Below are 18,622 nucleotides of genomic sequence, written 5' to 3'. Positions count from 1 at the left end.
CCTGCTCACCCCCTTGCACTTCCACTGTCCTTGCAGACCTCAGGGACTTGGCACATGCTATGCCACTCCATAAAATATCCTTCCCCCTGTGGCTCTCAGAGTCTGGCCCTGAAGCCCAGTACAGGCTCACCTTCTCCAGAAACTCTGTCCCTCTACATGCGGTGGCCCCGCCACACTGCCCTAGGGCTTGGCATGCCTGGTCCACCAGTATCCTACAAGCCCTGAGAGTGCAGATGGGATCTAACCAGCTTAGGTGTCCAGCACCCAGCACGGGAGCTGCCCAGGACACACACTCACACACAAAGCCATCAGGGACCTCCTCACACGTGGCAGGTGGGAGACAGGGCTGGCCGGGACACCACAGCTGCTGGGCACACGTAGGCCCCGTGAAATTGGCAGGGCAGGTACAGTGGAAGTCATTCCAGGTGACGAGGCAAGTCCCACCATTGAAACAGGGGTCAGGCTGTGGGAGAGGCAGGGCAGGGGTTGGCTCAGGACTGCAGTGAGCATCACCCACCATAACTGGCATTGCAGTGCTTCTTCGCTGAGCACCTACTACAGACACAGTATCTCCTCACAAACGAGGGGAGAGGAAGTCGCTAAGATCCCCATTTTACAGATGAGAAAACTGAGGCTCAGTGATGCAAAGCCACTTGCCTGAGTCACCCAGCCAGTAAAGAGAGGAACCAGAATTCATGCCCAAGCTGTTCTAACTCCAGGGTTGGTGGAATTCTGTTCATGATCAAAAGCGTGTCCCGCTCCCCAAGTAGCTCCTGCAGAAAGGCTCAGGCAGCTCTCTATCTCGGTCAGGGTGTCTCTCTCACACCAGGACTAGCTCGGGGAGACACGGGGACCGCCAGAGGGTAGGAGCAGCTGGGCTGAAGAGACAGATGTAAATCTGCCCTGCCACCCTCCTGTAGTGGGACCCTGGGCAGGTCACTTCACCTCCTGAGCCTCAGTTTCCTCATCAGCAAAAGGACACACTAAGCCCCGGTGACACAGGACAGATCCTGGGAAAAGGACTCCCCACCCCACCACCACCACCGCCACCAGACACTTACACTGCACATGTCCTCGGAGACGCAGCCCGCAGTGAGGTTCCAGGACTGCCTGCCGCCGAGCTCGCTGGGCTGGCTTGAGTTATCCAGTGGCAGAGGAAAGAAGGGGAGGTGGCAGCCATCGAGTCGCAGGTCCTGGAGGCAGCCTCGGAAGGGCCCACCCCAGGGCTGGCTGTCGGCAGCAAGGAGCCTCCCACCCACGTGCACGTGCTGCCCCAGGTCCTGCAGCTGGTCAGGCCCGAAGCTGAGCATCACCAGGTGACGGAGCCCATCATCCCAGCGCCCAGGGAGCACTACAGCAGGACTGCCCGGCACCTCAGCCCGGATCCGACCCTCACTCAGGAATACTGTTAGGCCAGCTGCGGAGTCATTGGCAAACTGGAGCAACAGGCCAGCGGACTCCCGAGTGCGGAGAAGGAAAGACACTGTGAGGTTGGGACCTGGCAGCTCTTGGAGCAGAAAGGAGGCAGAGCTTGGGGCGCCTCCCAAGCCAAAGGTGGCAGCAGGAATCTCTGCAGGGAGAGAAGGTGCCAGGTGTGAGGCCTGCAGGCTGAGGGAGGCAGATCTCAGGTGCTGCCTTCCCACCTGGCTTATTCCTCACCATCAGCGCACGTGGGACCTCTATGGGGCCGGGCACAGTCGCAACGGAAATGAGTCCACAGATCCACACAGGACCCTCCGTGGACACAAGGCAGAGGCCGGCACTGCTCTCGGCGCTCACAGCCCAGGAGGACGTTCTCACCGAGATCCTCAGGCAGCAGGAGGTGGCCATCCACACGCACGTCCTGGAGGCAGCCTGCAAAGGTCGCGTCCCCCAGCTGGGCAGAGGAGATCCCGGCAGGCAGCGGAGTTGCCGAAGCCGTGGAAGCCAGGGCCACAGGACCAGAGGCCACACAGAGCCGGGCAGGGCAGCCCTCATGCCAGAGCCGTAGCTCCAGGGTCGCTAGATGGAGCACAACCTCCACCTGGTGCCAATGGCCATCGTTTAGGGCCAGGTCCGGCAGTCTCAGGACAAGCACAGTGGTGCTGTAGCTCCAGAGTGTGGCCTGAAGTGTGGCTGCCACCAATGCCAGCTCCAAGCTTTCCTTGGTGTCATTGCGAGTGGCCAAGGTCCCAGCGGGCAGTGTGGTGCGAAACCTCAGTGCCAGACCCAGGGGGCCACCAGCTGGCACTGATGCCTGAATGGGGCTCCCAGCCATCACAGAGAAGGTGGTATTCTGGCCACAGAACGGTCCATGGGTACCAGGTGGGCAGTGGCAGACGTAACTGTGGACCCCAGACTCGAAGATAGGGATGCAGGTGGCAGCCAGCGGGCAGGTGTGGCCCTGGCAGCCAGTGAGCTGCACAGAACAGTCGCGCCCACCCCAGGTCTCTGGGCACCTGCAGATATAGCCTGCCACAGTGTCACTGCAGGTTCCGCCGTGCAGGCAGGGATCCGACAGGCATTCATCCACATCTTCCTCACATGTCGGCCCTTTGGGAGAGACAAAGCCAAGGTTCAGTAATGTCTGGGGCCAGAATCACAGTACTGACCCAGAACTTACATGCCTCTTATGATGGGGACCTCAGTACCTATCAGCCAAACCAATTCCCAGAGGATTTCTCATGGTCCCCTCAAGTCCCCCCGTAGGCCAGAAGCCAAGATGCCCCTTCCCTTCTCATGTCTGGTGAGTGTCCAGGCCCTGTAGATTTAATCTCCTAAACATTCTCCAATGCCCCTTTCTCCTACCCCCCATCTCCTGCCTTACCAGCTGTCTGGGCTACCATCCCGCATCCCCCAGTTCGCCAGCCTTCAGAAGCCCTTTCCCATCCATCTCCACCAGTAGCCAGAGGTCCATTTCTAAAGCATCGCCAGGCTGGGTTCCTCTGCCGCCTGAAGTCCAATCACTCACCCTGACATTTAAGACACCCTCATGGGCTGGGTCCTACCAGGCTCTCAAGCCTCAATCCTGCTTCCCACAAATCTTGAACGTCCCATTCCTCCGAGCATTTCCTGGAAAGTCGTGACTCTGGGGCTTTGCTCATACTGTTCTGTCTGCTTGGAATGCCTCATTCACCCTTACCCTTCCTTTCAAACTCCTACTCATCCTGCAAAGCCCAAACTCAAAGGGCCCAGAGGCTTTCCCTAACTCCCAACCTCAAACTACTGTGTCACTCTGCAGTCCCAGGCACAGCTCCCCAGAACCCTGTATTAAAAGTATTTGTTTACTCAGCTGAGATCTTCAGGGACCTGAATATGTCCTTGGTGCCCAGCAAAGGGCCTGACATGGCTTTTATGGACAGAGTGATGGCATGGAGGAGCTAGTGGGGTAGTGCAAGTACCCAAGGCACTCTGAGTGGCCTCCCAGGCTCTAACCCCTCAGTCCCTCTGCCCCAGGGCCCCCACACTGGCTGTGAAGGGGCTGCCTCATCCTCCCTCTAGGGATCCCTTCAGGTGCTCAGGCCCCAGCTTGGGTCCAGAAGCCATAGCCCACTGTAGCTCAGCCAGAGCCACATCCCAGCTGGAGGAACCCAGGCCCAGAGAAGTCACCAGGGTTTGAAGCCCAGCCTCGATCAGCTCACAAACACCACAGCCTCTTCCTAGGAACCACCACCCACCAACCTCCCCCTGCCCAGGGCCCACATTCCTCCATACCTGCCAGGAGCCACAGGTGGCCCAGGAAGGTCCACAGAGCCCCCGGCTCCATTGCCATGCCCTCCAGACAGGTTGAGAGTGGTGGGCGGGCACTGAGGCTGGGGAAGTGGGGAGGAGGCAGAGCTCCCTGCCTGGCCCAGCTGCCTCCTTCGGAGCCTGCTCAGGAATGCCAGGCACTGGCCTCCCCCATGCCCAGCATGGCCTAAAGGGAGGGAGGATGGGCAAAGAGCCCAGCCCTGCAGCTGGGGTCCCCCCTCCCTGGCTCTGACCTCAGAGGTCTGCCCTCCCTGTCACCCAACAGTGAGCTCAACTGGGAGAGGAGCCGGGTTCCCGCTGATAGTGGTGAACCTGGGGGATGACACCCCCTCATCCTCTCAGCTGTAAGATGGGGTTTTAAACCCCTGCCTCATGGGGCTGTGGCAAGGAAAAAACAAAATGCAGAGCAAATGCTTCCCAGAGGCCAGACGTGCTGTGTGGGCCCACTGTGTGCCAGGTACCCAGGAGGCCATGGCTCTTGGAGCAGGACTTGGGGAACCTCGGCCCATGGAGGCAGTGGATGGGCCTTCGGGACCCCCAGGAGTGTCAGCCATCCAGGGCTGGGGGACACTGAGTCCCACCATCTTCAGGCGAGTGAGAGAGGGGAAGAGGTGACCACCATCTCTTTCCCCTGGTGGAGGAGCCTGTGCCCAGGAGCCTGCCAGGGGGAGGAGGCAGTGTGCCCCAGCAGGAATGCGGGCGGGTGTGAGGGAGGTGTCGCAGGCATTCCAGAGGGGGCAGGGACGTTCAGTGTTGGCGGTGGAGCTCCCTGGGCTCACCGGGGTCCTGTGTCTGTGCATCTGCGTGTACCCAAGGCAGGGGCAGACTTCTGAACCCCCAACTCCTGCCTGACAGGCCCCAGCTCCCCAAAGGTCAGAGTCATCCTTCTACAGATGCTGCCCCCTAACTCTCTGCAATAGCCCCCCTTTCCTTCTCTGTCCTGGCTGAACCACCTCCGTCTTCCCTGAAGACCATCCCTCCACACGTTCTCCCAGACAACCTCAGCCCACTATGGCCCCAGCTGCCAGGACTACACTCCTGAGCCCCAGTCTCACCTCCAAAGCGAGTCCCAGTTCAGCCACCCTCAGCGGTCACCTGGGCCACCATACCCACCTCCTCCCTGATCTCCTTGACCCCATCAATCCACACATCCAGACAGAAGGGACCTTCTCACCTGAGGACCACCAATTCTGATGGTCCCAGGGCCCACCCCACCCCAGACACCTGCGTAGCCATCTGGGCAGTGACACTGGAAGCCATTGGGCAGGTCCTGGCAGTGGCCTCCGTTGAGGCATGGCCGTGAGGCACACTCGTCCACCTCCACACCGCAGTCGGCTCCTGTAAGAGGCCCAGCTGTGGGTCCCACCTGCACCCTCAGAGCCAGGCAGGGGCTGAGAGGGTCCATTCTATAGCTAGAGAGACTGAGTCCAAGAGAGAGGGCAGACTCGGGTGTGGGGTGTGGGGTGGGGGGGTGGGGGGGGTGGGGGGGTGGGCACAAGATCCCTCCCTGGGCATCTGGACATGGGCTGACCGCTTCCCCAGCAGGGGCTCACCCTCAAAGCCAGGAGGGCAGTGGCACAGGAAACCCGCAGCATGGCGGAAGCTGAAGGCGCCAGGGAAGGCGGCCTGGACACCCCCGTAGAGGGCCGGGTCAGAGCGCTGCAGGCATCGGCCCCCATGCTGGCAGGGGCTCGATGCACACTCGTCCTCGTCCACCTCGCACAGCTCGCCGCTGTAGCCTGGGGGCACACACACGCGGACATCAGGTCTCACGGGGTTGCCGGGCAGCACCTCTTCACTATGACCAGGCTAGCGAGGGCCAGCAAGGGACCGCAGCTCGGAATAAGCCACGAATGGCGAGGGAGGGACACACTAAGGGCCGCAGGAATGACCACGGCAGCCTTCAGCAGCAGTGGCCTATTACTGCTATTACTAGTCTTACTACTAATTTTTTTTTTTTTTTTTTGAGATAGAATCTCACTCTGTTGCCCAGGCTGGAGTGCAGCGGCATGATCTCTGCTCACCTCCACCTCCCAGGTTCAAGCGATTCTCCTGCCTCAGCTTCCTGAGTAGCTAGGACTACAGGTACATGCCACCATGCTTGGCTAATTTTTGTATTTTTAGTAGAGATGGGGTTTCACAATGTTGGCCAGGCTGGTCTTGAACTCCTGACCTCGTGATCCGCCCGCCTCAGCCTCCCAAAGTGCTGGGATTACAGGCTTGAGCCACCGCGCCCGGCCTAGTCTTACTACTATTACTAGCATTAATTACTGAGCCCTTTGCAGCTGTCAGGCCCTCCCCAAGGGCTTCCCAGGCGTCGCACCTTCGAGCTCCCCGCAGCAACCCCAGGAGCAGGCGCTACGATCAGCCCTATTTTGTAGATCAGGAAACTGAGGCTCCGACAGGTTGCAATCACACACACACTCTGGTCCCGAGGACCCAGCGGGCACTCGCGTGCAGCCACACACCTGCCCCACCGCCCCAGGCCGCACAGGCGCACACCTACCCCTCCCCCCGCCAGGCCGCGCACCTGCACGCACACACCTGGCCAACAGAGGCAGCGGAAGCTCCCGAGGCCCTCGAGGCAGGACGCGTTGTGCTCGCAGGGCGCCGATGCGCACTCCAGCACCTCCCGCTCGCAGTGCGTGCCCTCGTAGCCGGTGCCCGCGCAGTCGCACCGGAACCTGGGGAGGGCGCACCGGCGGAGCTGAGCGCGCGCCTGCCCCTTCTGCCCCGCGCCTGGCCTCCCCGCCCTCGGGCACCCGGCGCCCCTGCCGCCTGCCCCGCCGCTCGCTCACCCGTTGACCAGGTCGTGGCACGTGCCCCCATGTGCGCACGGCTGGCTCTGGCACTCGTCGAGGTCCAGCTGGCAACGGGTGCCCCCGTAGCCTGGCGCGCACACACAGCGGAAGGAGCCCACGCCGTCCAGGCACGAGCCCCCGTGCAGGCAGGGCGCTGAGGCGCACTCGTCCACCTCCATCTCGCAGGTCACGCCTGGACAGGGCAGGGGACACACAGGGTGCAGGATGGACACCCAGAGCAGGGCGGAAGAGGTCGCGCCAGGCCTGCTCCAGAGTTAGAGACTCGTGGATTCATTCATTCAGAGCCGGATGGTGGTGGTGGTGGTTGGGGGGTGGGGGACGGGTCATGCCAGCAACCGCAGGGAGAGAAACGAGACAGACAGCCCTGCCTTCATGGGGCTCACAGCAGTCTAGGCCAGGACATGGTGGGGGGTGATTCAGCCAGTAATTACCTAAATGAGCTAGGTGATGTTGCCAAGTTCAACAAGGAAAGGGGTTGGGTCTTGGGAAAGCAATAGCCGGGGTCTGCTCTGTTCAGGGAAGGCTTCCTAGAAGAAGAGGCTTTTGAAGGATTCAGATAGGGGACTGTGGGCAGCAGTTGGATTCCAAAGAGACTGCAGCAAGAGGCAAGTTCCACTAGGGGCAGGGCCATGATGCCCTAGGCGGGGTTATTGGAGGGTTGGAAGCAAGGGAGAGGGTGGCGGAGGTGAGTCGGGTGGGAGGTGTCAGTGCCTTGGGGACCAGGTAACCTCTGGGTCCATCCTGAAAGTTTCAGACAGGTAAGTGACTTGGTCCCACCTACATTTTAGTTAGTTGTTTTGGGTTTGTTTTTGTTTTTTATTTTTTTGAGACAGAGTCTCACTCTGTCGCCCAGGCTGGAGTGCAGTGCTGCAATCTTAGCCCACTGCAATCTCTGCCCACTGGGTTCAAGTGATTCTTGTGCCTCAGATTGCAGAGTAGCTGGGATTACAGGTGCATGCCACCTCACCCGGCTAATTTTTGTATTTTTTTGTAGAAAAGGCGTTTCACCATGTTGGCCAGGTTGGTCTCCAACTCCTGGCCTCAAGTGATCCACCCACCTCAGCCTCCCGAAGTGCTGGGATTACAGGCGTGAGCCACCACACCTGGCCCTACCTACTTTTTAGAAGGTCCACTCTGGTGGCTTTCAGATCCCAGAGAGGCAGGAGATGCTTGAGTAGGGTAATCACTCCTCCCAGTGTCCCTGCACTGTCCTGGTTTTAGAACTGAAAGTACCAAGTCCCCAGAACCCTCGCAGTCCTGGGCGAATCACGACAGCTGAGTGGCTCTCCCAGGGTGATGGTGAAGAGGAAGGGAGATGGGGAGTCCCAGGGTTTCAGATACGCTGCCTGAGATCATCCTGGACTCACGTGTCACTGTAGACTCCAGCAGGCCCTGCCCCCTAAGTGGGTTTGGTCAAGCGGGGGCCAGAGGCCCAGCTGACTCCAGCTGGAACCCTCCCCCTTCTCAGTTCATTGAGCACAAAACATGGCCCCACCTTCCCATGACCCTTCCCTCCTCCCTCCCCATCCCCACTCCCACCCTCTGTGCCAGGGGGAGCCAGGCCTTGTCTGGAAATCCCAAACTCCCCCACCCGGCTTGGAATGGAAAGAGGAGAGAATGAGTCACGGCAGATGCTGCCCCCACTCACATCCACAGCTTACCCAGGAAGAGTCACCCGAAGTGTGTGAGTGCTACACATCCGGATGCACAACCCACTGCCCGCACAACCCACTGCCCGCACAACCCACTGCCCACACAACCCACTGCCCGAACAACCCACTGCCCACACATGCACTCAGACTGCAGACACCCCCAGGTACTGGCAGATCTTTACAGATGCAAAACAGAACTTGGAACTAGGAGACACATGGACGAATGTGACCTGCACTGGCATGTACACTAATACACCCAGACGCTGAGACACTGGAACGATGAGAAAGATGCATGGAACCAGCTTCCCAAATCTCTCTTCATCAGCTGCCATCTCTTCGCTGTAGGCCCCCTGCCCTGGAACCCAGCCCCCCAATCTGTACCTCTTGCTCTGAAGTGACTTCAAACTGCCCTCTGCCCTCAGAGTACAGTTGTCTGAATTCAGGATTGAAGTAGGATCCAGAGCATCTACACTGCAGACTCAGACTCTGCCCTGGACTCAGCTTCGCTCCCAGACTGCGCCCCTTCTGTCCCCAGCTGCGCCCTCCTTCCCGACTTCAGGCCTCTCTGGGAAGCCGCTCCAGGATGTTCTCGGCTCAGACCATGGGTGGGCCTGGGACGGGCCACACTCTGGAGAAGGTACCCTTAGTGCCAGTCACTTTTCTGAGCACTTACGTATATATTATCCCACTCCAGACAGCAGCGATCCCTGGGGTATGTCAACACTACAGTTTGAACGAGACCTTGTATGTCTATGCTAGAACTCTGGGGGAGACCCAGAGGCCAGGGGTCCACATTGCACTCCAGACCACATCAGGAGTGTTCAAATGAGCTGATGGTGACTGTCGTGTAGACAGTGTCTACATGACAGCTTGGCACAGGCCTGAAGTGCTAGAAAGACTATCTGGGCATCCTCACTAAAGTCACGCCAGGCAGGTTCACACTGCCAGAGATGAATGAGGGGTATTCCACCCCCGCAGCCAAACTGAACTCTAGGCTGGACTGAAATCACATTTACCGAGTGCCTGAGATGCGCCACACACCACGCCAGCACCCGCACATACATACTCTCACCCAGAGCTGCCAGGCATCAGTTCTGTAGTCAGACCAAGTGGATATACCCTAGAGCTGCCCGGATGCCTGGGGGCGTCCCTACACGAAAGGCAAAGCTGAAGCCATGATGCTTACACTCTGAGCAGCTGATGCGATCTGCATTACAGACCTCCTCCCAGGGCGGCCCAGGCTGTTACCTGCATAGCCAAGGGGGCAATGGCACTCGTAGCGATCGGCCAGGTTGCGGCAGGTGGCCCCATGGTGGCACGGCCGGGATGCACACTCATCGATGTCCAGCTCGCAGCGTGGGCCCTGGAAACCCGGCACGCAGTAGCAGCGGAAGCCGGTGGGATCTGGACCCTGGGGCACACACAGAGCGCCGTGGTGGCATGGCTGGGTGGCACAGCCCCGGGGCTCCATGGGCCCACAGGTATAGCCACCACTCTCGGTAGCCTGGCACTCGGTCCCTGGAGCGCACGGGTCTGAGGCACAGGCACTGGGGGGCTCTGAAGGCACCGTCCCTGTAGAAAGAAGAAACTGGCTGGGCAGGGTGGGCAGAGGTTACAAGGACAATCTCCTCCCCACCCTCTCAGGCCCACCCCAGACCCCAAAAGCAACGTGGGTCTCTGCATGCACAGTATGGACAGAGGGCCAGGGGTCTGCAAGCCAGGTCCCAGTAAGCTGCACACATCTGCACCCAGAACTGGGAACGGTTTTAGGAGAGCCTATATAGCAGAGAAACAGCACCAAGGATGTCTGGCTTCTGGGCAGGATTAGTGAGCAGAGGTTCCCTGAGCCCCGTGAGCTTCCCTCCACTGTCTTGTCCCTGCAGTCCCCCTTTGAGGCAGTATCCGTCATGCCCATTGCACCAGACAGCAAAAGGAGGCCCAGGAAAGAAAGTGAAGGCTTGCTGAGCCTGCCCAGCCCTGTCCACTTCACACAGCAAGTTAGTGTTCGCTGGGACAGGCTTCAAGGTCTATCTGGATTATTTCAGCTCCACCTGGGGAGGGGTCTCCCTCCTGCAGGCCCCATCCATCCAAGGAGGCCCCAGAGGGTGAGGCTCCTCCCACTGCCCCCTCCACCTCTTCTGCCAGGGGTCTGGTAACTCCATCCCTGGGTGAAACTGGAGATGGGCCCGACCTCAACCTCTGGAGGATGGGTGGACAACTTCAAAAGCAGGGATCGTGTGCTCCGCTGGTCTCATTCCTACCCCTTCTCCACATCACTACCCACCCCCTGCCAGCCACTGGCCTAGGAACTTCTAGAGGGTCCCTGGCCCTAATTTCATCCCCCATCAGCAAACACCTGAGTGGCCGGCCTGGCCAAGGTCGCATGGTACAGAGCAGGTATTGAGATGGCTCACGGACACCTGCCCCTGGCCACCATGATGCTTCCAGCACCGGGGCTCTAACAGAGGGTCACCAACCGGCTTGGAAGCCACGCCCAGAGATCCTCATCCCCCTTCCTCTCCTCCTGCCTTCCTGAGAGCCTTGTCACCACAATGCCCAGGTGAGAACTTGAGCTTTGAAGTGAAACAGACCTGGGTTCAATTTCAGCTCAGAAAGTTCCTAGCTATGAGACCCTGGGTAAGTCATTTCTCCTACAGAGCCTCCGTTTCCCAGTCTGAAAATTAGATCATAAAAGAATCCCCTCATCAAATGCTGAACTATTCAGCTCCCCAGCACCGCAGTCAAGGGCTGCTTTTGGTAACAACTCGGTAAGGGATGGGGGAGGAGAGCCTCCAGAAGACACAGCCTCCATTCCTCCCCCCACCCCCATCCGGAGCTCCCAAAGGTGCCCCTCCCCCACCCAGGTTGTCATCTAGACACTCACCAGACCCCAGAACAGCTCAGACCCTGCACCCTTCCCTCCCCCACTCTGGTGAAGCCCCCCAGATAAGGCTGGCAGCCTCTCAGGCGTCATCCGCATTCCAGGCAGGGCTGTCCTGTGGCCTGACCCGCATCCTTCCAGCTCCCCCAGGAAAGGGCACAGGTTTGGGGCATCGGGCAGTCCTGGTTTGTATCTGGGGTGCAAAAAGTGCCCATCTCATGGAGGTGTTGAAAGGATTCACCAAGGTGATGCAGGGCACAGCCCTGGGACTGGGTGTGGCCAGCACTGCTCAGGAGGGTGCAGCACTCATAACCCATGGTAAAGGGCCCCGGCTGCCAGCGCCTGTGCCAACAGGTCCCTCACTTAATTCCCACAGAGCACTGTCCCTCACCTGTGCAGTGCAAGGAACCCCCCCCCCTCCCCGCCCATCCAATCTGAAGCTTTGCCCCCTATCTCAGAGCAGCTGGGACCACGCTGGGGAGGCAGCACCGGGGAAAGGATCCTGGGGGGCGGGGGAGGTGCCTTGTCACAAGGGATCTTCCCAGGACCATGGGAGCAGATGGGCTCTAAATGACAGAGCCCGGGAGACAGAGTCCAACCCCATGGGAGGAAGGAATTTCTCCAGTCAGAGCCAGGCAGGAAGGGAAGGAGCTGCCCGTCCTGGGAGGCATGCAATAGTGCCACAGTCCTGCCTGGGAGGGACAGCCATCTTTCATGTGTCATCTCAGTTGATCTTGGCATTTACCTCCGAGGTGGATAGGATTATGATGCCTGTTTTACAGCTCAGGAAAGGGAGACTCGAAGCAGCCTCACAGTCCACAGCCCAAGGGAGGCTGGAATCCAAACCCAGGGCCTCACTCCAAGCTTCCCGGAATCACGGGCCCACATTAAGAATACAGATTCCTGGAACCCACTCCAGACCCCAAATTTAGAACCACTGGGCCCTGAGCCTGAGAATCTGCATCGCAACCTGCTCCTGGGGGATTCCTTTCACTTTTAGGTGTGGGAACCGCTGACCTCAGGTTGTCTCTGTCTTCCAGGAGTGAGCCTAGGAGGCCACGATAGCCCAGGCCAGACAGGAGAGGCAAGGAGGGGCGGGGTGTGGAGGGCAGCAGGGCGGAGGAGGGGCTGTCCCCCCTTCCCGGGCCAGGCTGGAGGGGCGGGGCCTGTTGCCAGGGCAACGAGGGGCCTGTGCTTATCTTTACAAATCCCTCCTGACCTCAGGCTGCCTGGGCCGACCTGGCAGGGAGGGATTAACCGACGCCCGCCCCTCCCCTTCGACCTGCTGCCCTGTCCTGGGGAGGGGCAGGAGGACCCAGCTGTTTACTGAGTGTGTACTATGTGCTTGGGCCTGTGCATCTATTATTACATTGTTATACTTGATTCAGACCAGAAAAGGTGGGTGCCATTAAGAAAATTTCTGTTTTTGTAACTCAGAGAGGTTGATAATTTTGCCCAGGTTGAGACGAAGAATCAGATCAGCTCCTGATTTCCCAGAGGTCCACATCTCCCAATGCATGTGAAATTTTCACTTTACAAACCCTAAATTGCCACTCACATATTGTTGCTTTAGTACATTACAGCTGCCTCACCCAGGAAAAAAAAAAAATCTCTAAAGGTTTTCACAGGAATACAGCTTCCAATATCAGCCTGGGCAGAGCAGGCAATCTTCCCCGTCTATCCAGAACCCAGCTGTCAGTAATCCCACTGTGTCTCAGGCCTCACTCATTAGTAACTCCTACTTTTCATGCACTTAGAATGGGCCTGTTTATAACAGCCAACAACTGATGAGAAGTGTTTTACTGAAGCCAGGTGCAGTGGCTCACACCTGTAATCCCAGCACTTTGGGAAGCTGAGGTGGGAGGATCACTTCAGGCCAGGAGCTCAAGACCAGCCTGTGCAAACATAGTGAGACGCTGGCTCTATGAAAACAAAACGAAATAAGCCAAGCATGGGGTGGGTCCCTGTAGTCCCAGCTGCTTGGGAGGCTGAGGTGGGAGGATGGCTTGAGCCCAGGGTGTCGAGGCTACAGTGGGCTATGATTTTGCCACTGCACTGCAGCCAGGGCAACAGGGTGAGACCCTTTCTTAAAAAAAAAAAAAAAAAAAAAAAAACAAAACAAAAACGAAAAACCACAAACAAAAAAAGAAGCATTTACTGGGGAAGCTTCCTGTCCCAACAAATCAAGAGACAGAATATTTCTAAGAAGCGACCTAAGATCTCATAAGGTGTGGGAACTTCTAGCATAGGGGAAGAAATTGTTCATCTAATATCCCTGGGCCCCAAGGCTCTACCCTACAAGGGTAGGGCTGAATAACCATGGAGGCTTGCAGACACTCACTCAGTCATCAGGAAAGGGTGAAATTCTCTTTTGGGCAGAATAATTTGGCATACTCTTTTTCAAAAATGTTTACCTTCTGAGGTTAAAAGACATAATTTTGATAACAGTAATTGCAACAATAGCTGTCAGGGACGGAGCACCTACCCTGTGCCTGGCACTGACCAACCCTTGAGAGTTTGGGCTCAGAGCACAGTTCCAGGGAGTTACCTCCTGAAGTGAGGGGGAGACAGAGCAGGTGGGGTTCCCCACCTGCCACCCAAACAGGCCACTTTTAACAATTTTACTATTAACTATTCATGGGCTTCCATCTAAAATTTCCCTTGAAATTGGGGGTTCCATGCCAAAACCTGGGGTGGGGAACCGCTCACTGCATTCTCTTCCAATCCTTATACCAGCGCTCGGAGTAAGCCAGTCTGTCCTCGTTTTGTAGAGACAGAGAAGAGACGTGACTTTGCCTAGGCAAGTAGCACAGTGTACTGTGAAATCCCAGCACTGGCTCTGGGGCTTCCTGGCTCTGGGACTGGCCATCTCTGGGCCTCGTTTACCTCCTCTGTAAACTAGGGGTATCAGAGCTGACTTCATAGGCTGTTGGGAGAATTAAATTAGACCTCGTTAATAATAGCACAGTGCCTGCCATGGAGTGGCTGATCTTACTCATTAACAATTCTTTACTTGAGGCAGACACCCACTGTCCAAAGGATCCTGACATTGGGTTGAATGTGTGTGGCTTTCTGCTCCATCTCTGCTTCTGTCCTGCAGGCCCCCACCCCCTTCTGGCTGGAGGAGGGGCCGGACTTGGGGCCTGGACTCACTGCCCCTTTGTCTGCTGGGCTCCCTGGGTGTTTGGGGAAGGGAGGGTGGATATGAGAGCCCAACGTGCCCCATTGTACTCCAAGATGCTTGGTCCTCTCCATGGCAACCAGCCGGGCCTTTGTGGCAAATTGGGCCCAGGATGGAGAGGCCCAGCTCAGGGCCTGGCAGGGGTGGGGAGAAAAGCCAGGGGCCCATGGCCTCCAGAAGCCCCCATCCCCTCCAGGATGGAAATTGGTTTTCAAGTGACAAAATCCCCAATCCCTCCCCTCCCGGCAGGCAGTCTAGGGTACCAGCATGCAGAAATGGTCATGCCTGCAGTGTACCCCACCAACTTTTAGGGATCCCCAGGGATGGCGCTCCCAGCACAGAAATGGCAGAGGAAAGGCTGCCCCTGGGCAACCCAGCAGGCCTGATGGGTTGAGTGTACACACCAGTGTCCAGACCCCCCACAGCCTCCATCCACTCTGTGCCTCCAGGTCCCCTGTGAGTGCACACTGAGTGTGAATGCACACATGTCCACATGTGCGTGTTGGGGTGTGCACATTGGTGTGCAGGCACATGCCATGTGTGTAGGTAGGTGCATGTGCTGGTAGATCCACATGTGTCTGTAGCACCTGTCCCTGTGGTGCTGTGTGCCCTTGGGCATGCCACACAGGTGTGCGGAGTGTGGGTGTGTGAGCATCACAGGGCAGGGGACAGAGCACCGATCCACAGACCGGGATCTCACGTGCTTTGTATGCAGAGAACAGAGAGGAGCAGCCACCCCGCCCCCCGCCACCATGCCCCACCCCTCTATGGAGCCCAAGTCGCCTGCCAGCAGAGCCCAGCTCATAAGTCCCCGTCCCTCTCTGAGCCTTGGTTTCCTTCACTGCAAAATGGGGTCCTCATCCTCCCTAGGGCCCCATAGAGAGGATAGGAAATGAAAGCTTTGTGAGTGCGGGAAACATGAGGGTCCCCAGGTGGGACTGGGAGACACTTGGCCCCCACACCCTACAGCCTGTGGAGCTCTGGGGCAGGGAGGGCTCCCCCAGCCTCAGGAGAGCCCAGGCCCTCCTTGGCTCCCTCCCCAGCCTGTGGTGGTGGGGGCAGGGGACTTCCCAGGCCCGGCCCCTGTAACTATAGTAACTAACACCAAGCGTTCCCTTGGACCCCCCAGGAGGAATTCCAGGCTCCGAGAGCTTGGACAAAAGCAAAAAGGGCTTGGCAAATGTGGTCTGGCTTCAGGGAGCCCTTTCAGATTGGCCTTGGAATGCTGGGGAGGGGGCAGCAGGGGACACACACATGTTCCCAAATCCCCAGCCACCCCACAGGGACCCAGAGCATCCCCAGCAGCCCTCAGCACAGGCAGGGCTACCGCACAAATGGAGGGGTGCGGGCAGGCACCCAGCTCCCTGAGTCTCCCTCACGCTTCTCCACTCAGTCCCGAGTTGGGGTCGGCTGTGCACATCCCACACCCCTCATGTTGAGAGCAAAGACCTAGTTCAACCCTGGACAACCTACACCCCACAGCGTGTGCTAGGACACAGCTCACCACACCCAACTCCTCGGACACAACTCACGGCTCACCCCAGACAGCTCATCCACCTCCCAACTCTAACACACCCACAACCTGTGCCCCACAACCCAGCATGCGACACAGAACAAGCTCTGGGGTGAGGCTTATGCCACCTGCAACTCCCCAAACTCAGCCCCTAGAAACCCAGAAGTCCCCCAGCCCTTTACAGGATGCAACACAGCACCTCCCAAAACACGCACCCCATCCCTCACCCGCATCAGCTCCCCCAAATCATGCCCAGCCCCCGATCCCCCAACCCCGAAACTTACAACCCCCCTCAACATGAAACAGCCCCGAGCCTCAGAACACACTCACCTCCGTGGAGCCCCACAGAGTCTGGGGGCCACAGCCGCGCACTCCTGTGCACCCCACAGCTCAGGCCTGCACCCACGCGGACCAGCCCACCCACCACCCCAGCAGCCAAGGCTTGGGGTATCTGTCTTGGGGGACAGACCCTCTCCCAGGCCCCTCCAGACATGGGCCCCAACTCACCAGCCAGGAGGGAAAGGGCAGGGGCCCAGAGCAGCAGTAGCAGGACAGAGGCCAGGGCCTGGGGGTCCGGGGTCCCAGGCCTGGCCAGCGCCATGGCAGCCCGCTCTGCGCTCTGCTCGGCTGCTGTGAGAACGGGAGGGCGGCCTGGCTGGCTCCGCACCCCCCTCGTCCCTCCAACCAGCACTAATGCTGTGGACAGAGGCCCAGCCCCTCCCTCCCCTCCCCGCCACCGCCTCCTCCTCCCACCCAGGCCTCCTGGGCTGCTCCACCTCGTGGACGTCCCTAGACATCAGCCCCAAGTCCTCAAGCCCCCTAGCCTGTGGGGCTGACCTGGTCTTGGCACCCACTGGTTTCTCCCTCCTGACCCTCTGCCCCACTCTCCTCCCACCTCTCAGGTCAGCCTCCTTGGAGAAATTTCTGTCCTTGGAGAGGGGGCTGTTCAGGACTCTCGTCTCACCAGGTGATGCCAGCTACTCCCAAGTCCTTAGTTATCCCCTCTCCTGGATCCCCCTCCCCACCTCTCCAGCCCGGGCCTCTCTCCCAAGCCCAGGCCTTCGAGTCCAGTCGCCTCCCAGACCCTGTCTCTGCTGGGAAGCTGCAGCCCCTCCCACCCAGCTCGTCCCCCCACCTGCTGCTCCCCAGTGCTCCCATCGGAGCCAAGGCACCTCCCATCGGGCAGCCCAACGCCCCCTCCCCACTCCCCCCTCCCCACACTCGGTCAGCCCCTAGCTCCTGGCCATGCCACCTTCTCAGTGTCTCCTGCTGTCCCCACCCCGTCCCACCCGACCACACACAGCTCCTCCCACCATCGGCCTCAGGATCAGCTCCCTGCAGGGCACCTCACCCCTGCACCACGGTGGTCCCTGCCTCCCTTTACCCTCTCCACCCTTCACCAGCCAAACTGAACCTTTCCCAGCTTTCTTCCACTTGACCTTGATCTCTGGCTCTGCTGTTTGCAACTCCAGCGACCTCACTGCAATCCAAAGCAGCCCATTCTACTGAAAGGCAGCTCTAACCAAGCAAGCATTGCTCTCCCCTGCCAGGAAGTCCTTCTTGTTGTCTAACCTTATAGTCTCCTGCTGCACTCGATGTTTGCTTGCTCTCCAGCTGGCCTCTTGTTGGGGTGGACAGGAGGAGCTCTTCAGGGGGACCTGGTTCAGGAAGCCAGGTCATCTCAGAGACACTACAACATAGAACAACATTCCTTTCTTCTACCACCCTCAGCCCCAGTGGGGAGAGAATCCTCTTGCTGAAGGGACTTTCCTGAAATGAGCCACCGGCCCCTGCCAATACATGCCTGTTTGTCCCTATTCAGTAACCGTGGATACAGCCCACGCAGGCCCTGGGCTCTGGGATGTGTCCCTGACACGGGAGGACACAGCCTGGAAAGACAGCAGGAGCCATTGAGGGAGGTCCAGATGAGCTAGAGGGATGGGCAAGGGTCCCCTGCAGTGCAGGGGAGGGAGCAGTGGGCACCACACAGGCCCTGGCCGACCCTCTAGCCCGGGGCAAGTGCCACAGCCCTGGGTCCCCAGGGACCAAAGGAGGGAACCCAAAAAGGCCTGGGTAGACTCCTTATCCACTGCCCCTGCCCCATCCCTGCCCTTGAGGCCTGTTCTCTCCAGGGCAGGGATTGCCCCTTGGTTTCTGGGACACTAACCTCTCTCAGTCCATCTTTAATCCCCTGCCTCTCCAATACAACAGGATCCCTCTCCCCAGGTGGGAGAAGCCCCTCTCCATGCCACAGGAAAAGCAGAGGCCTCACAGCGTAAGAGATCTGGGTTCGAGCCCAGCTCAGCCACTGATTAGCCGGTGACCTCAGCACGTGACTTCCTTCTCTGGGCCTCAGTCTCCTCACCTGTAAAATGGTGGCGTTAGTGAGCCAAGGCGACAGTGCCAGCTCTCTTTATCCAGCTTCTCAGTGATCCCCCAGAGACCCAGGCAATCCCAATGGGGGGCTGGGGGGAGCACGGCAAGTCAACCACCACCCTCTGGTTCTCTGGATGCACAGACACAAACTCCCACACTTTCACAGAGCGGGGAGGTCACCCGGCGCAGGTCCAGTCTCCTCTGCAGCCCGGCCCCCAGCACTGTCCTGCAGCCGCCACACTCCACCTTGTGGCCAGACCTGGAAGTGTCTTGTGAGGTCTGGAGGGTATGGAGGGGGGCTCCCCCGACAGCACCGGGTACAGGAGTCCCACGTGACGGGGAGGAAGCCAGGGAGTCGCTGGACAGCAGGCAGGACGGAGGTCAGACAAGGGCACACCATCTTGACCGCTCCCTGGTCCGGATCTGGAGAAGGCAGTAAGAGTGGGCCAGCTCCTCTGAGATGGTCCC

At 58.9% G+C, this 18,622-nt stretch overlaps 1 protein-coding gene across 8 annotated transcripts in view, besides 9 other annotated features; it reads right to left on the bottom strand.

Moving 5' to 3' along the window:
- CRB2 (crumbs cell polarity complex component 2) overlaps positions 1-18,575 on the bottom strand; it is a 26,262-nt gene extending 7,687 nt beyond the window's left edge. For 2 of the 8 annotated variants that reach the window (NR_104603.2, XM_005251934.4), the window contains exons 1-4: positions 3,694-3,861; positions 1,660-2,532; positions 1,062-1,570; positions 298-463 (exon numbers count right to left, since the gene is read on the bottom strand). Coding sequence is in view for 7 of the 8 variants with exons in the window: in XM_005251934.4 (XP_005251991.1) it covers positions 298-463; positions 1,062-1,570; positions 1,660-2,532; positions 3,694-3,751 (1,606 nt within the window). In the remaining variant the exon portion in view is untranslated. Of the gene's footprint in view, positions 1-297; positions 464-1,061; positions 1,571-1,659; positions 2,533-3,693; positions 3,862-4,953; positions 5,068-5,282; positions 5,469-6,273; positions 6,414-6,527; positions 6,724-9,451; positions 9,776-16,285; positions 16,444-17,350; positions 17,510-18,143 lie in introns of those variants that run through there. The other 6 variants (XM_011518558.4, XM_011518557.4, NM_173689.7 and 3 more) reach the window with 6 other exon arrangements.
- Positions 3,991-4,640: an enhancer, noted in NCBI's record as "H3K4me1 hESC enhancer chr9:126130279-126130928 (GRCh37/hg19 assembly coordinates)". NCBI's record gives its function as "activates a minimal SCP1, AML or CMV promoter by ChIP-STARR-seq in primed H9 embryonic stem cells {active_cell/tissue: H9 hESC(primed)}" and the evidence as "EXISTENCE:reporter gene assay evidence [ECO:0000049][PMID:30033119]".
- Positions 6,049-6,612: an enhancer, noted in NCBI's record as "H3K4me1 hESC enhancer chr9:126128307-126128870 (GRCh37/hg19 assembly coordinates)". NCBI's record gives its function as "activates a minimal SCP1, AML or CMV promoter by ChIP-STARR-seq in naive H9 embryonic stem cells {active_cell/tissue: H9 hESC(naive)}" and the evidence as "EXISTENCE:reporter gene assay evidence [ECO:0000049][PMID:30033119]".
- Positions 9,086-9,948: an enhancer, noted in NCBI's record as "H3K27ac-H3K4me1 hESC enhancer chr9:126124971-126125833 (GRCh37/hg19 assembly coordinates)". NCBI's record gives its function as "activates a minimal SCP1, AML or CMV promoter by ChIP-STARR-seq in naive H9 embryonic stem cells {active_cell/tissue: H9 hESC(naive)}" and the evidence as "EXISTENCE:reporter gene assay evidence [ECO:0000049][PMID:30033119]".
- Positions 14,095-14,762: an enhancer, noted in NCBI's record as "H3K4me1 hESC enhancer chr9:126120157-126120824 (GRCh37/hg19 assembly coordinates)". NCBI's record gives its function as "activates a minimal SCP1, AML or CMV promoter by ChIP-STARR-seq in naive H9 embryonic stem cells {active_cell/tissue: H9 hESC(naive)}" and the evidence as "EXISTENCE:reporter gene assay evidence [ECO:0000049][PMID:30033119]".
- Positions 17,981-18,480: an enhancer, noted in NCBI's record as "H3K4me1 hESC enhancer chr9:126116439-126116938 (GRCh37/hg19 assembly coordinates)". NCBI's record gives its function as "activates a minimal SCP1, AML or CMV promoter by ChIP-STARR-seq in naive H9 embryonic stem cells {active_cell/tissue: H9 hESC(naive)}" and the evidence as "EXISTENCE:reporter gene assay evidence [ECO:0000049][PMID:30033119]".
- Positions 17,981-18,492: a biological region, named in NCBI's record as "H3K4me1 hESC enhancer GRCh37_chr9:126116439-126116938".
- Positions 18,143-18,312: an enhancer, noted in NCBI's record as "active region_28940". NCBI's record gives its function as "activates an Ori minimal core promoter by ATAC-STARR-seq in GM12878 lymphoblastoid cells {active_cell/tissue: GM12878}" and the evidence as "EXISTENCE:reporter gene assay evidence [ECO:0000049][PMID:35858748]".
- Positions 18,443-18,492: a silencer, noted in NCBI's record as "silent region_20250". NCBI's record gives its function as "represses an Ori minimal core promoter by ATAC-STARR-seq in GM12878 lymphoblastoid cells {active_cell/tissue: GM12878}" and the evidence as "EXISTENCE:reporter gene assay evidence [ECO:0000049][PMID:35858748]".
- Positions 18,513-18,622: a silencer, noted in NCBI's record as "silent region_20249". NCBI's record gives its function as "represses an Ori minimal core promoter by ATAC-STARR-seq in GM12878 lymphoblastoid cells {active_cell/tissue: GM12878}" and the evidence as "EXISTENCE:reporter gene assay evidence [ECO:0000049][PMID:35858748]".

Source organism: Homo sapiens, chromosome 9 (assembly GCF_000001405.40).
Source record: "Homo sapiens chromosome 9, GRCh38.p14 Primary Assembly".
In the NCBI taxonomy this organism is placed as follows: Eukaryota; Metazoa; Chordata; class Mammalia; order Primates; family Hominidae; genus Homo; species Homo sapiens.
The sequence above is the reverse complement of the archived record's forward strand: the minus strand, read 5'-3'. Positions and strand labels throughout refer to the sequence as shown.